This window comes from Homo sapiens, chromosome 17 (assembly GCF_000001405.40).
Source record: "Homo sapiens chromosome 17, GRCh38.p14 Primary Assembly".
NCBI classification, from domain to species: Eukaryota; Metazoa; Chordata; class Mammalia; order Primates; family Hominidae; genus Homo; species Homo sapiens.
The window spans coordinates 18,698,912-18,714,809 of NC_000017.11; the positions used below are offsets into that span (position 1 = coordinate 18,698,912).

Consider the following 15,898-nt stretch of genomic DNA (forward strand, 5'->3'; position numbering starts at 1 on the left):
TGTTGTCTGTAACTGTCTATGTTCCCAGTGTCTGACTCTGCAGGGCCCTGGTGGTATAAAGGTACTGAGACTTGCCTGTGTTTAGGGCTTCCTGAAGATTAAATGGCTGCTGAAGTTCTTGAGTTTAGCTTTAGCTCAAAAGATACTGCGTCAGACTCTGCGTTCTGAGTAGAGTCTCAGACAATGAAAAAAGAAATACAATGAAAAAGGGGAAAACTTCAATCCAGAATCTCTTGCCACAGTTTTTGGCAAAATGCTGGCAATTCCCAGGAAGATATGTGGAGAACGGAAAGGTTGCTACACCCAAATAGTGGCGCAAAGGCTATGATTATGGAGGATTGGACCTGCAAACTCCAGAACAGAGGTAAGAAATAGAAATAAAGGGTCCTGCCATTAGCCGAGAATCTGCAGTATGCACACACAACCTCATTTTAGTTTTTCTTTACAGCAACCTTGTAAAATGTGTGTGGGCAGCACAGAGACCTTGGGCAAGTTAACAGTTTCCTCATCTGTAAATACTGATTTATGGAAAGCACCTGGTGTATGGTGAGTGTGCGAAGAATGGTAGTGATTTTACTAATATTCCCTTTTAATTTGAAACTCTGAAAAAACAAGATACCTTACTTCCGTACTCTTTCCGTTATACCACCTGCCTTTCTGAAGGATGAGGGGGGATAAGTCAGACTCCTTGGAGGAGGAGAAAGAAATAGGTATGGAGAGGCTGATGATTTGATTTGGCATTATAGCACATGGGAGAGCCTTAGTCCCTTGAACCTTCTATGAGCTCAGGGCTAGAGCTGGGGCCTGCGTCCCCAGGGTCCATGGCCCTGCTGCTCATTTCTGGCAGAATTAGAGACTGCTCCTTGGCTCTCTTTCAGTTTTCTCTTAAAAAGTGCTTTCTCTTAAGGAGATACAAAGGGATGCCCCAGATTAGAAGGGACTTCCATAGTCTATCTCTAGTCTGTTTGACTTTCCTATAATATCCTGCCCTCAGGCCCTCTGATTTCTGGAAGTCCTGGAACTTAGGAGTTCCTAACTCTACCTTAGCCCCCACTGACTGTCAGTGTCGAGTACAGGGAGGGGACAGGCATCTTGTGGGGAAGTTGGGATTTGGGAGTATGACCAAACATATTGATCATACCTTTTTTTCCTCGTAAAACAAAGTATAGAAAGAAAGCACCATAAAGTCTTGGTTAATGTTGATATGCAGAAAATATTGAGAATAATAATTAACTGATGATTAAATGACCTTTCCTGAGTGCTTATTCTGTACCAGGTACTGGTTTGGGCCGTTTATGTGCATTAACGCACATTGTAGCAACGTAGGTACCATTATTAATCTCTTTTGTAAAATTAGGAAACTGAAGCCCAGAAGAAACTTGGCTATGGTTACACAGTGCCAGGATGTAAAGGCAGTAGGCAGGCAGACTCCAGAGCCAGAGTTCCAATGACAAAGGATTACAGGAGGCATGAATTCTACAAAATTGTGAAACCCTGTACTTGGTAATAACTGAGGCCTGAAAGAACTACTTCTTCCCCCAAACAAATCCACAAGGAGGTTTAAGTACTGCTTTTTGGAGATGGGTGGAGAGAGGATTGAAGAAATAATAAACTAAAATATTAGGAAAATATAGAATGATATGTAGAATAAGATAAATAGCATGTAACCCTACTACCTAGAGATAAGCGCAAAGAAATGCTCAAAGGTAATAGGATCAGCAGTTCTCTCCCTACAAGTAAAAAAATCAAAATGGAGAAGTAAATTATGAGCAGAAGGTTGCTTGTTGGGCATAGAATCAGACCAAGGGAATTTGGGGCTCATTCATTAATTCATTCACAATACTTAGGGACTGCTGTCTGCCAAGTACACCGTGCTCAGTGCTTAGGATGCAGTGGTGAATGATACGACACATACAATTTAGTGGAGCGTGTGTGGTGTTAACAGGCCTGAGGTGGCCACAGACTCACCGTGGGCCTGGAATACTCACGATGGGGTGGCTAAAGGTGTCTGTGACCATGACTGCTGGGGTGGGCACTGCTGTCTTTTGCTGCTGTGACTCCCTTTTTCTTGTTCTACAAAATTGGTCACTTTCTCCATTTGTGAATAAAGGAGTTGAGCCTGGAGGTCTTTAAGCACCTCTCCAACTGTAACATTGCACTTCTTGTTTTGTTTTAGGGTTTTTTGGTCCCAGGGAACCTCGTTTTCAGAGCAGTGGCTCACGCAGATCCTGAGCCCAGTTAATGGTCATACCTTTCCCTAAGTTTATGTTCATTCTATCCTCTGAGATTATCTTTGAAGTCTCATTACATAGATGTCTGTAAAATCCTTCAAGCTATGGGCAGCCAAGGTCAGAGGCACATTTTCTCATAAGTGGCTGTTTCTAAATTCATAGGTTTGAGATACATAAAGATAAACCAGGTTCCTTTATGTCAATTTCCTTCCAGTTCTGCCCTCTGAGGACCCTGCCCTTTCCCAAAAGGGGTATCTTAAGAAGGAAAATATGGCTGCTCTTTGCCGGACAGCAGAGTCCCAGGTGAGTTGGGGATTCTCCTCTCTTCTCGGAAATTTTATTTTAATTGAGTTGGGGATTTTCCTCTCTTCTCAGAAATCTTATTTTAATTCCTGAAGCAAATTTTTTTCTCTTAGCATGAAGCTTGTCAACCACATTAGCCACAGCAGTTTGAAAGGAAAGGATCAAGCAGGTGGGATGGACTGCCAACGGGATGGTGTTTGAGTGTTCCTCAGTTGTATGACAGTAGCAGTGAAGGTCAGGAGGCTTGGTAGCCTCGCCCATCAGTTGGCAGTGTGGAGAAAGGATGGTGGGGGCAGGATGGGAATGAGGCCTCTTTAGCAGATAATTGAGGAGCGTGACTCCTAGAACATGGTTGGGTAAGAATCAAGCTTCTTTTTGTTCACTTGAGACATTTGGCGTAGATATGCAAAGGCACGTGAGGCATTTCTTGCTTGCATCTGCTTAGAATATTTTGGGGAGAAAAGATGTACACAAATCTGTGTGGCACAAACCAGCAGATTTAGTATTATTAAATAGGGCCTTATTATTAAGGGCCCTTATTATTAAGGGCCTACTCAATAATAAAGTGTCTTAGGGAAAATGCTGTATAGACTTGGAGGAGCAGGAGCAAATGTGTCTGGCTGAGAGAGATTTAGGAAGGTTTTATTCATTCAACTAGCATTTTAAAGTCCTTTTAAGCAGCTCCTAGGCTAATGAAAGTAGTGAGATTTGATGTGGGCCCTGAAGGCTAAGTTGAAAGATTTATAGAAAGTTAGTGACATAAATGACTTAGAATCGAAGCAAGATACTGATTCCTCTGGCACAGGAAAAAAGTCAGTACATTGAAATCACGGAGGTGTTGTTCCACAAAAACTTAAAGGCTTCTTATACTCAAAGTTCTTTCCTAGATATAATTCTCAAGCTTGGCTTATTTCTTTTTTTTTTCTTTTTTTTTTTTTTTTTTTTGAGATAGAGTCTCGCTCTCTCGCCCAGGCTGGAGTGCAGTGGCGCCATCTCGGCTCACTGCAAGCTCCGCCTCCCAGGTTCACGCCATTCTCCTGCCTCAGCCTCCCAAGTAGCTGGGACTACAGGCACCCGCCACCGCGCCCGGCTAATTTTTTGTATTTTTAGTAGAGACAGGGTTTCACCGTGTTAGCCAGGATGGTCTCGATCTCCTAACCTTGTGATCCGCCCACCTCGGCCTCCCAAAGTGCTGGGATTACAGGCGTGAGCCACTGCGCCTGGCCAGCTTGGCCTATGTCTTAGTTTCTTACTTACCATCTGTCTCTCTCAACTTAACTGAAGATAACCTTAAGGCCAGCTGAACAATAGGCTTGGGTGGGAAGGCCACATCCTTAATCTGACTTTTTTTTACAGGGCTAAATCAGTTTGTTTAGTTAACAGGTGTAATGGGCCTTTATTGCTCAAAGCTCTTGTTAGACTTACTTCCCACTGTATGAGATCTAGAAACAGTTTGCTTTTCCAACCACGTGAGGCCTCAGATTTCTGCACTCTATTCTCTTTTGTTTTGGCTTGAAAATTGACACATTGTTTCCTGAACTTAACTCATTCTTTGTTCGCCAGACATATCCAGGAGCATTCTACACAAAGAGCATTCTGGCGCTTTCCAACCTGTTCTAGAGCCACAGGCCCAGTGAGCATTTGCCCTGCCCTCATAGTTGCTAATTAGTTTGCCAGTGTATATTAAGAGTCTGCATCTGTTGGCTGGATGCGGTGGCTCATGCCTGTAATCCCAGCACTTTGGGAGGCCGAGGTGGGCGGATCACCTGAGGTCAGGAGTCTGTCACCAGCCTGGACAACATGGTGAGATCCCGTTTCTACTAAAAATACAAAAAAAAGTAGCTGGGCGTGGTGGCTCACACCTGTAGTCCCAGCTACTCATGAGGCTGAGGCAGGAGAATCGCTTAAACATGGGAGATGGAGGTTGCGGTAAGCCGAGATCATCGTGGCCACTGCCCTCCAGCAACAGAGTGAGACTCTGTCTCAAACAAAAAAAAAAAAAAAAAAAAAAAAAGAGAGACTGCATTTCTCCAGTCGTAAATATTCTTTTCTTTGAAGCTTGCCACCTGACTGTCAATCCAATGCCACCTGTGTATTTGAACTTTTTATTATGATATCTCCCACTTGAAGGTGCTGATTTCTGAATTAGTTTGGGTTGGCTTACTAATAACTGTTGTAACCAATAGACCCAAAATATATATGGCCTTAATACAGTAGAAGTGTATTGTTTGCTGTCATAGCCATGTGACTGGGTATATAGATTGATAGGATGGCCATTCAGGGACCTGAGCTACCTGAAGCTCTAGCCTCTTTACCACATGGCTTCCAAACTCACTCTGGGGCTCATGGCCCTACCAGCCAGTCAGAAGGGGAAAACAGCATGGAGGAATATACGTGAGTCAGGCCTGGAAAGGGCGCACATCACTTCTGCTTGCATTCCATTGGTTAGGATCTCATGGCCAGGTCTAACTACAGAGGAGGTTGGGAAATGTTTGTATACCTAGAAAGGAGAGGAGGAGGTATATTTTCATGGACAGTTAGCAGCTCGTAGCACTGTTCTCAAACATTTAGGTTATTTAGAACGATTTTGCTATTTTTCTACTGTAAGGTATAAATAGATGTGATTCTTTGTTTATAACTCTCCGTATTTCTGATAGTTTTCTTTTTTTTTTTTTTGAGACAGAGTCTCGTTCTGTTGCCCAGGCTGGAGTGCAGTGGCGTGATCTCGGCTCACTGCAAGCTTCGCCTCCCGGGTTCACGCCATTCTCCTGCTTCAGCCTCCCGAGTAGCTGGGACTACAGGCGCCCACCACCATGCCTGGCTAATTTTTTTTGTATTTATAGTAGAGATGGGGTTTCACCGTGTTAGCCAGGATGGTCTCGATCTCCTGACCTCGTGATCTGCCCGCCTCGGCCTCCCAAAGTGCTGGGATTACAGGCGTGAGCCACTGCACCCAGCCGATAGTTTTCTTATAATTGAGTTCTGTATATAAAATTACTGTAAAACAAAACTATCAAATTATGTCAAGGGGGTATACGCATTTTAAGATTTTAAGATTCTTTAATATATGAGTCAATAAAATCTTGTCTTTGACACTGCGAACATAGTTTAATCTATTTCCTCTCCATCCCATCAGTCTCCCCTAAGTATGCCTCATTTAACTTTTTCTTCAGAACCCCATGCAGGTGTTTCAGGGCTTTACGTCATTCAAGGATGTGGCTGTGAACTTCACTAGGAAGAATGGAGAGTACTGGACCTTGCTCAGAGAGTCTTGTACAGGGATGTAATGCTGGAGAACTATAGGAACCTGGTCTCCTTGGGTAAGCTTGGGTCCTTCCACCCCAGATTGACCTTTCAGGATACCTTTGCCTTCTAAAGATTCCCTTGCTTCTATTAGGGGATGATAACAAATGAGGCTTTGGTTATTTTCCCCCACAGAATCCAGATCAGATCCTTAAACTGTTTCTCACCCTACTTGGGTAGAAATTATTTAATTGCTTTTGACAATTAGTTATTTCATTTTCTCCTCTCTAAAATGCAACAGAGTGGGACTGAGAATAGAGTGGTCCTTTCTCTTTTGAACTTAAAATTACATTCTGTTTGTATCTCTTGAGTAGGATTTCCATTTTCCAAACCTGGTATCATCTCCTAGTTGGAAGAAGTGGTAGGCCCACGAACGCAAATGCAGGAGGGAGAGGTGCCAAGAAGCAGCTGTACACGTAAGTGAGAACAAGGCGGATTGCATCTTTAGAAATAAGAGTTAGGGGTTCTTCCGAAATCCTCCGGGCCTGTAGAAAATGTTGAATCCCCCTGCAGTCTCATCTTCACTTGACCACATCAGAATCCTAATAGCTTGCCTCTTTATTTCTTTCCAGACTGAAGGAAGAGATACTTCCTCCTTAAAGTTATAAGCCCAACACATGATCCAGAGATCAGCTTTGTGCCTCATCCTGAGGCATTTTATGAGGCTATTCCCGTTTCCTCTTTAGTAGCTGGAATCACTTCTTCATTTACTCTGTCCTTATCCTACCTAGTTTTCTGCTATATAAGAAATATGAAGAGAAGGAAAGAATTTGAATAATTTTAAGGATATAAAATTGACATAATTTGTTGTGTAGATTTGAGAGGTGAGGGAGTAACAAAGAAAATTCTCAGGTTTCGGCCGGGCGCGGTGGCTCACGCCTGTAATCCCAGCACTTTGGGAGGCCGAGGCGGGCGGATCACGAGGTCAGGAGATGGAGACCATCCTGGCTAACATGGTGAAACCCCATCTGTACTAAAAATACAAAAAATTAGCCGGGCGTGGTGGCGGGCGCCTGTAGTCCCAGCTACTCGGGAGGTTGAGGCAGGAGAATGGCGTGAACCCCAGGAGGTGGAGCTTGCAGCGAGCCGAGATCATGCCACTGCACTCCAGCCTGGGTGACAGAGCGAGACTCCGTCTCAAGAAAAAAAAAAAAAAAGAAAAAATTCTCAGGTTTCTGGTCTGGATGTGTAGGTGAATGGAAGTTCTCTTCCCTGAGATGGAAAACACAGGAGAAGTAGCAAATTTAGGGAGTGGAAGATGAGTTCAGTTTCTCTTAAGTTGTTTGAAGTGTCTATAATAAGTCTAAACCAGTGGTTCTTAACCAGGGGCAAGTTTGCCCCCCAGGGGACATTTGGCAATGTCTGAAGTGTGCTATGGGTATCTCGTGAGTGGAGTCCAGGAATGCTGCTAAACATCCTACAATGCACAGGACGGGGCCCCACACAAAGACTTGTCTGTCTAAAACGTCAACAGTGCTGCAGTTGAGAAAACCTGCTCTAAGTGGTAATGTCTGGAGGCTAGATGAATATAAGGATGACATGCCAAATGTATCTTAGTAAAGGAAAGAGATCTTAACTGGTGGTACAGATTTGGGAGTTGCCTGAGAATGGATGAAATTGAAGCCATGGGAGTGGATAATATCACCCAAAGAGCACAAAAAGAGTTACAAGAGAGCCTAGAACTCTAACGAACACAAACATTCAAGTATCTGCAAAAAAAATGTATATATATATGTATAGTATATAATATATATATTTTTATATTATATATGCAAATATATATGTATATACACATGTATATATACGTATGTGTATATACACATACGTATGTATATATACACATACGTATGTGTATATACACAGGGCTTCTCTCCAGTGTGGATCCTCTGATGTTGGGTAACATGGGCGCTTCTACTGAAGGCTTTCCCACACTCCTGATAATCAAATGGTTTCTTTCCAGTATGAACCCTCTGATGCTGGATAAGAGATGAACTCTGGCTGAAGGCTTTCCCACAGTCTTTACAGGTGTAGGGTTTCTCTCCAGTGTAGACTTTTGTATGTTTTGTAAGAGTTGAGCTCTGGCTGAAGGCTTCACCACATTCTTTACACTTGTAGGGTTTTTCTCCGGTATGAGTTCTGTCACATAAATGTGGCAGAGCTTTCGTGTAGTTCAGCCCTCATTAGACACCAGAGACTTCACAGTGGAGAATCTCCCTGAATGTCTGGACAAATCCACTCAGACTCTTCATTTTGTTAAATGCCAAAGAATTATACTTTTATAGGTTGTTACAGTGGCGATGCTTTATTATATTTTAAGGGATGAAAATCCCTCCTCTCCTACCCCGGTTATTTTCTCTTGCAACAAATCCAAGTGAAGAAACACTGAACTGAAATCTGGACTAGCCTAATAGACTCTAAAGCTCAATTTTTATATGTATATGTGTGTATTTTTATCTGTACCTGAAATGACTGCTGTCACCATGCAGTGATTTTACCCCCCTTCCCTGGCCTCAGGAATAAGCCAAGAAATTCTAGTTGTGCAGAACTGAGCTTGTTGCCCCTTCTTGTACTGATGGAAATAGTGCCATGTCCAAACAAAATAAAGAAGCTCATAGCTAATTACATATCCTAATACCACCTTCCTATAAAACTTTGCCTTAATCTGTAGTCATTCCTGCCCCCAGCTCATACCCTCCTGTGGGCAGCTTTTGTTCGCTTTACCTCATCCCACTGTTTTGTGATCACCCCCCGGGAGATGAGGGACCCAGTTAATAGGCCAGATGTCAAGACTGATGACATTTCACACACTAAGAGAACTTGAAAGTTTACTATTCATACACAGGGTTTCTGGGGAGAGCAAGATAGATGAAAGCTGGTCCAAAATGGCAAGAACAGAGAGGAGGCTGGGCCTTTAAAGTAGCTAGGGAGTGGGGCTGGAGAGCATTCGATCTGTGGGCTTGAGGGATTCAAGCTTCCTGCCAGTGCTGGGAGCTCAGGAGATGCCCATGGATTTCTTTATCTAAAGCACCAGGTGTGCGGTGGGGCAGTGTGGAGGAGGGGAGAATAGAAAATGGTGGAAACTTAAATGCTGTCAATGGCCAGACATCAAAAATGGGGCCAAACTCTGTTACATCTACCTTTTCAGAAATCTTTTTTCACTTATCTCAAAATAGCTCTTTAATGTTATTGTGTCTTTTTTTTTTTTTTGAGACAGAGTCTTGCTCTGTCACCAGGCTGGAGTGCAATGGCATGATCTCAGCTCACTGTGACCTCCGCCTCCCAGGTTCAAGTGATTCTCCTGCCTCAGCCTCCCAAGTAGCTGGGACTACAGGTGCCCGTCACCACGCCCGGCTAATTTTTGTATTTTTTGTAGAGACAGGGTTTCACCATGTTGGCCAGGATGGTCTCAATCTCTTGACCTCATGATCCGCCCGTCTCAGCCTCCCAAAGTGCTGGGATTACAGGCGTGAGCCACTGCGCCCGGACTATTGTGTCTTCCGTTGATGAGGAATCTATTTTGCTTTTTCCATCTCCACTTTCTTAGAATTTTCTTTTTTTTCCCTTTCCTTAAGCCTGAAATTATAACAGTTCTCAGAAAGTAAGAACCATTTACCTTGGAAACTGTCAGCCTTACATAGTAACTATTATGCAATCCCAACAGAAGAGTTAGGGAAGATTGAGTCAACACTTTTAGAAAACATTAAAAAAAAAAGGTCATATGAATTTGTATCAGACTATCACCAGATTAAGTTACTTGAGGCTGCCTGATGAAAATTCCTGTATATGGCTCTAAGAAATTTTATGTGTACCTAATAAAGCCAGGCATTATTTTTTGGTTGCTGTGACTCAACACTTACATGCAAACTTTTTTTTTTCTTTCAAATCTTCCTAAGCTTAAATTGATGTTAGAGTCACTTTTTTGGTTTCCATGAATTATTTTCCCTGCCTTTTTTTTTTCTTCCTGTTTTAGATGCATTTCAGTTACCTGAGAGTAATCCAATTGTATAGGATTGGAGTCCCTTGACTTTCCCATATCATTCCCAGTGTACTAGCCAGAACCTGAGATTTCCCTGCTTTCTATTTTTCTCACTAAAAGGGCTATTCTGAACTCTCTCTTCTCACCTGCTTTCCTATCCTTCTCTTCTGTTTAAAGAAGTCGGTGTTAGTACAGCTTGAAATTCAATAGGGCTTGAATTACAGAAGGCACAACTGAAGTTAGAGAAGAAAGGATTTTTGTTCTGAAAATTAGCGGTGAGACAGACCACTCTGAATAAATGGTGATATCTGGAAATAATTTTTGAAATGCCCAAAATCCTTCGTAACTTTAAGAAATTGAAAAGGGGTGGGGAGGGTCGTCTATAAGAGTGTCTGTCATTAGAATAGGACTTCTTAAAGTAATGTTTGTTAACAATTGGTAACAAGGTCATTTCCAAACATAGTTCCTGGAGCCAGTTGGCTTTGGATTGGTAGAAACCATTGTTGTTCCTTCAGAGTCCTCATCTTTGGTAATTTATTTTAGAACAAAAGACTGAAGACAGATGTCCTTGAACAAAAGGTCTGTCCTCTAATGGGTGGATTGCATGAATTCGTGGATTGTACTGTAGTGAATTGGTATAATTCTCTTGTAGCCTAAATATAATTTGGATCCAGAAATATTAAAATTTTGAGGACATTATAGTGATGAAATATTTGAAATCAGAACAGTTCTAGAAATGTTATGACTCTGGGACTTACAGAGCCTTTTTTGTTTTGTTTCAGTTTTTACTCTGACTGTACTGTTAGTAGTATGGTCTATGCTTGTGCTCTCCTCTCAGATTTGTTTGTTTGTTTGTTTGTTTGAGACAGGGTTTTGCTCTATTGCCTGGGCTGGAGTGCAGTGACGCCATCACAGCTCACTGCAGCCTTGAACTCTCAGGATCCTTGATCCTCCCACCTCAGCCTCCTGAGTAGCTGGGACCACAGGCAAGCGTCACCACACCTGGCAAATTTGTTTGTATTTTTTGTAGATGGTGTTTTGCCATATAGCCCAGACTGGTCTTGAACTCTTGAGCTCAAGCAGTCTGCCCACCTTAGCTTCCTGAAGTGCTGGCATTACTGGCATGAGCCGCCACGCCCAGCATTTGGATATTTCTATAACAGGGTTCTCTTTCGTGGGCTGTAGTGTAGACCACACTTACCCTTCATGATGGAGAATATAATTCCTCTCCTTTTACAACCTAAGCTAAAGCTCAGTGTGTTTGTTTGGTTGTGGTAAAGTCTGGGGTGGGGGTTTGATTTGGGGCTTTAGATAGTAAATGTTCTGATATTTTGATCTCTTTTTGGTAGGTAATCTGGATTCTTTAGTTTTTAAATCATGAGTGTCTAATTTTCTAACTTATATGTTAAAATTGCCTGTATGCTTGGCTGATATGTGTCCAGTGAAGGGAAAATTAATTTATATGTTAAATTAATTCCTCCAAGCAAATTATCCTGAATAATTTGCACTGTTGTGATAAACTAACTAGGGTGACCCCAGGCTTGATTTGAGGATTGCAGGAAGAGATATTTAGTGATTAAAGTAGGGCTTTCTGTCTTTTCGGAGGAAGCGTTAATACTTTTTAGGTTTTCTTTAAGTTAAGAGGCAGTTGTCACGTTATCACTCTTTTCATTTTGCAAGTTAGTCTCCTTTAGGACCCAGTTTAAGGTATCACCTCCACCCTCACCTCTTGGCCACTGTAACTGAAAATAATCTCCTCCTCTGAATACCAGTGCTGCTTACTTACTATTTATATCACTCACATATGCCTATGAAACATGACAATTTTGGTTTGATACTAATATCTGGCCTTATTCTCAATTTTAACATCATCAGGGATCATGATTTTAACATCATTATCATCATGATGAGGGAAACCTATCTTTGTTTAGGGCTTTTGTTGCTGATTTTACACAAAATAATACTTGCATACGGTTAAAAAAACCACGTGAAATAGAGTTTTTCAATGAAAAGTCATTCTTCTAGGAACTTTGACCTGTTAGATATATATCGTATATTTGATGACTGCTGGGTATGTTTTGCCAAGAGTCATCTATGCAAAATACAGTGGCTTGAGATAAACATCTCAGGAAAAATCATCTCATACTTATATTTTACTTAACAAGAATTAACCCATATGCACCAAGATATCCCCCCAAACCAAAAGATAAATTAGTGTAATTAAGAATACTATAAAATTATGTTTTGCACACCTATATAAAATTCTATATTTATCTATTTATACATGAGTTATTATCAGAGCTATACACAAAACTAGGTGTATTTTATGGGCAAATTCAAGGATTTTTAAAGACAATATTGGTATTGCCCTGTTTTCATCTTACATGCTGACTACAGAAGTAACCGTGTGTAAGAGCACGACTTCAGTGAATCTAGAGGCCCAGTCAGTTCATTCGTGTGCTAGTTTATTCCTCTTCCTGAGTGTTTTTCCTTGGTTTGCCAAAGTTGACTGTATCAGAAGATATGCCAATTTATCCTAGTAGGAAGATTGCTAGGTGAATAAAGAAGCACTTCAGATTAATCCAAGTCCAAAAAAACTCCACGTAACCTTAATCAGCTTCATATATTAGTCCTGGAATAAATGTGACTATAGTGAAAGTGGGAAGACATTAGACAATATTCATCTGTATATTATTGATATCAGATGATGCACACTGACAAAAACAAAACCCTAGAAATACAGTAACTGTATAGTGAAGCCATGGCTTAGGATTCTTTGCTTATTCAGTATCACGGTTTTAATAGGACCCCAACACTAGAAATTAAAAAGATTCCAGTAACACCAACCTAATTGTATGTAGAATAATCTTCAGTGGAGAAAATACTTACAATTGTATAGAAAGCCTACAGTGGATCATTTGTCATCATCCCTGTTCATAGATTTTAGAACCAAAGGGAACTTTGAATATATAATATGGGCCTTTTATTTTGCAAGTGAGGAGATGGAGATCTGGAAAGGTTAAATGATATGCCCGTGCTATTTGGGGTGAGGGCAGTGGATAGCGGAGCTGAGCTTCCACAGACCTCCCAACCCTGCATAAAAAAAAGACCTTCTTTCTGTGACATGTAGACCATAGAGAGCATCTGGGAGAGCAATGGGCATAGGGACGCTTCGACGTGGGAGAAATTAGCGGCTGATTGAGGGACAGGAGGGAGCTGGTTTACATTTAGTGGTAGTTATTGACTGGAGCACTGTGATGAGGCCATGGTACAGAGTGCTTTGAAGTCCTGCCCTGGGCCTGGGAATGGAGTCTGGATACATGTGACAGGCTTTGCATCCTTGTTGCTTCTGCCCTGTGGCAATTGGGGATTTACTGGATGAAAATGGGTTTTCTTGTTACTGAATTTAAACTGCAGAATATCTTCAAGCTATGAAAATAATTCTGTGTGCATGCACCTGTGGGTTAGAACACTCATTCTAACTGACATGAGGGAATTATCTCATGAAGACTTTACCTGGTGTGATATTCTTATGAGTGAATGAATGAACACCTTTTGTTTCTCTACTTTGCACTCACAAGACTCATTCTTTCACATTAGTGGTTCTCAACCAGGGGAGATTTTCCCCCTCCAGGAGACAACTGCCAGTGTCTGGAGACAGTTTTGGTTGTCACAATTGGGGGAGGGGGTGTTACTGGCACCTAGAGGATAGAGGCAAGGGATACTGCTAATCATCCTACAATGCACGGGACAGCCCCTACAGAAAAGGATTGTCCCAGCCAAAACGGCAGTAGCACTGAGATTCAGGAATTTTTAGATAACCAATTTACTGTGGCAGTATATCCCCACGAGGTGGCGGTACAGCCTCCTGCTGCAATGTTAAACTACAGTAGTTCACCGTGAGCAGTTGATTGTAATAGCGAATCTATTCTCTTTTTCAAAAAGTACACTTAAACATTTTTTACATTACAAAAGTGAAATATTCTTTGTGACAGAATCAAATAGTATACTGTAGAAGTGTATAAGTAAAAGAAAGGGCTTCCTGAGTTCCCCCTTGAAATCCTACCCTTTAGAATTGATGTGTATCTTTTTAGATTCTTTTCTTGTGCGTGTATATGTATGCATGCATAACTAGTAGTGTACTGTTTGTTTTTCAACTCACTTATAACTTTCAACATTATACTTTAGACATCTTTAAAAATAATTTAGAGGTATCTCATTTTTTTTAATGGATGCATTGTGTTCTGATGTATGGATGTCCTATAATTTCTATATATTCTTATTAATGGGCATTTGGGTTCTTTCCAGTTTTTTTTCCTGATACAGGCAATTCAGTGGTCATGCCGCTATTTCTGTAGGATAGATTCCTGGAAATGTGAGAGCTGGGTCAGAGTACATTTAAAATATTGATGAATTGGCTGTACTAGTTTATACTCTTAACAGTGTAGCAGAGTGCCTTTTTCTCTCCCAAACATTGGATACTATCAAGATTTTATTTTTAATATATATTTTATTATATTTTATTCTTAATAATGTTGAATGTCTTTTCCTATGTTTATTTTTTCTATGTTTATCAGTTATTTGTAGTTCTTCCATGAATTGCCTATTCATTTCCTTTTTCCATTTTTCGTTGGGTTGCTTTCTTTTTATCAGTTTGGAGTAGTTCCTTATACATTTTGCTTATTAATGCTTTGTCTGAAGTTTCTTTTTGAATATGGGATAAGTTAAGGATAACATAGCTAGCCAATTGAACTAACTGTCCTTATTGAATAATTCCTCCCTTTCTCACTGAGTTGAAATATATACGTATATGAATCTGTTTTTGGACTCTGTTCCATCTAATGCTGCGCTAGTTTCACAGTGTTTTATTTATTGTGGCTTGTAGCTGGTTGGTGAAGAAGGATGGGAAGAATGTTTGGTGGTGTGTTTTCATGTGCAAAAGTGTGTTTTCGTGTGCAAAAGCCTAGAGACAGGAGAAAACGGCGAGGGACTGAAGGAAGGCCAGAGGCTAAGGAAGGAACGAGGGCCTGAGGAGGAGGGGGAATGACGCTGGAGCACAGGTGGGGCTCAGATCATACAAGACCCCATGGGCCATTTTCAAATTTGGATCTTTATTCTTAGAGCCATGGAAAGATTTTAACCAGAGAAGTGACATGATCAGACTTATATTTTTTGAAGCTTTCTTTGGACTTCGGCTTCTGGCTATGATGGAGTAACTGGTACTAGGCTAGCCCTCCCACCATAAACTGCTATACAACATGACAAAATAGATGAGACAACTATTTTCAGGCAGTGAACAATAGGTAGCACAGAATACTGATCCCAGACAGAGGGAAACTCATGAGGTGAACCCCATGATCACCCAACTTTCTGTCTTAGAACTACTTCCAACCATGGCGCAGATAGCTGGAGTCCATGTAGAGCACAGTGGTCCCACTGAGTGGAGGATGTGGAAATCAGGGTTCAGAGCAGCGGAAGCAGATAGATAGTGCGGGGTGAGATACAGAGAGGAGGGAGTTGTATAAGAGCGTACACGAGTACATGGATAGGTCCCTTGTAAACCGAAGGTTGAGAGGCAAGCTGAACATGAGCTAGGTGAGATCACTCAAGGGTTATAAGATAGTGGCTACTGTGGGGTTGAGAGTGGAACAGTGTCCTGGTGGGATCCTGGGACATATAAAGGACACTAGAAAAAAAAAAAGAAAATCTGAGTAAGTATGGACGTCAGTTAATAATGTATCAATATTAGTTCATTAATTGTGACAAACTATCATAGAGTAACGTAAGATGTTAACAGTAGAGGTGTTGTGTACCCCTGTGGTAGAAAGTTTGAAGGGTCTTATGTACCCCTATTGGGTGTGGGGTATATAGGAACTCTTTAAAAAAGAGTTTGATCTACCATGGTAGAGAATTTATTCTTTCCATAGAAATGATGGAATTCTTAGATGAAGAAGCATTCAAAGAGAAGTCAGCCAAAACATATAGGAAGAAGAAAGTATCATAGATGTGTATCAGGAAGTTAATTGATAAATATTCTCTCTGGGGGAAAAAAAAAGCTACTTCTGCTTGCATCTTACACAATTGC

At 41.3% G+C, this 15,898-nt stretch overlaps 1 pseudogene across 6 annotated transcripts in view; it reads left to right on the forward strand.

The window, feature by feature from the left end:
* TRIM16L (tripartite motif containing 16 like (pseudogene)) overlaps nucleotides 1–15,898 on the forward strand; it is a 38,115-nt pseudogene that overhangs the window by 914 nt on the left and 21,303 nt on the right. For 2 of the 6 annotated variants that reach the window (NR_172638.1, NR_172633.1), the window contains exons 2-5: nucleotides 243–364; nucleotides 2,446–2,534; nucleotides 5,708–5,854; nucleotides 6,152–6,253. The product of NR_172638.1 is annotated as a tripartite motif containing 16 like (pseudogene), transcript variant 6 (transcript). Of the gene's footprint in view, nucleotides 1–242; nucleotides 365–448; nucleotides 547–2,445; nucleotides 2,535–5,217; nucleotides 5,637–5,707; nucleotides 5,855–6,151; nucleotides 6,254–15,898 lie in introns of those variants that run through there. The other 4 variants (NR_172637.1, NR_172636.1, NR_172634.1 and 1 more) reach the window with 4 other exon arrangements.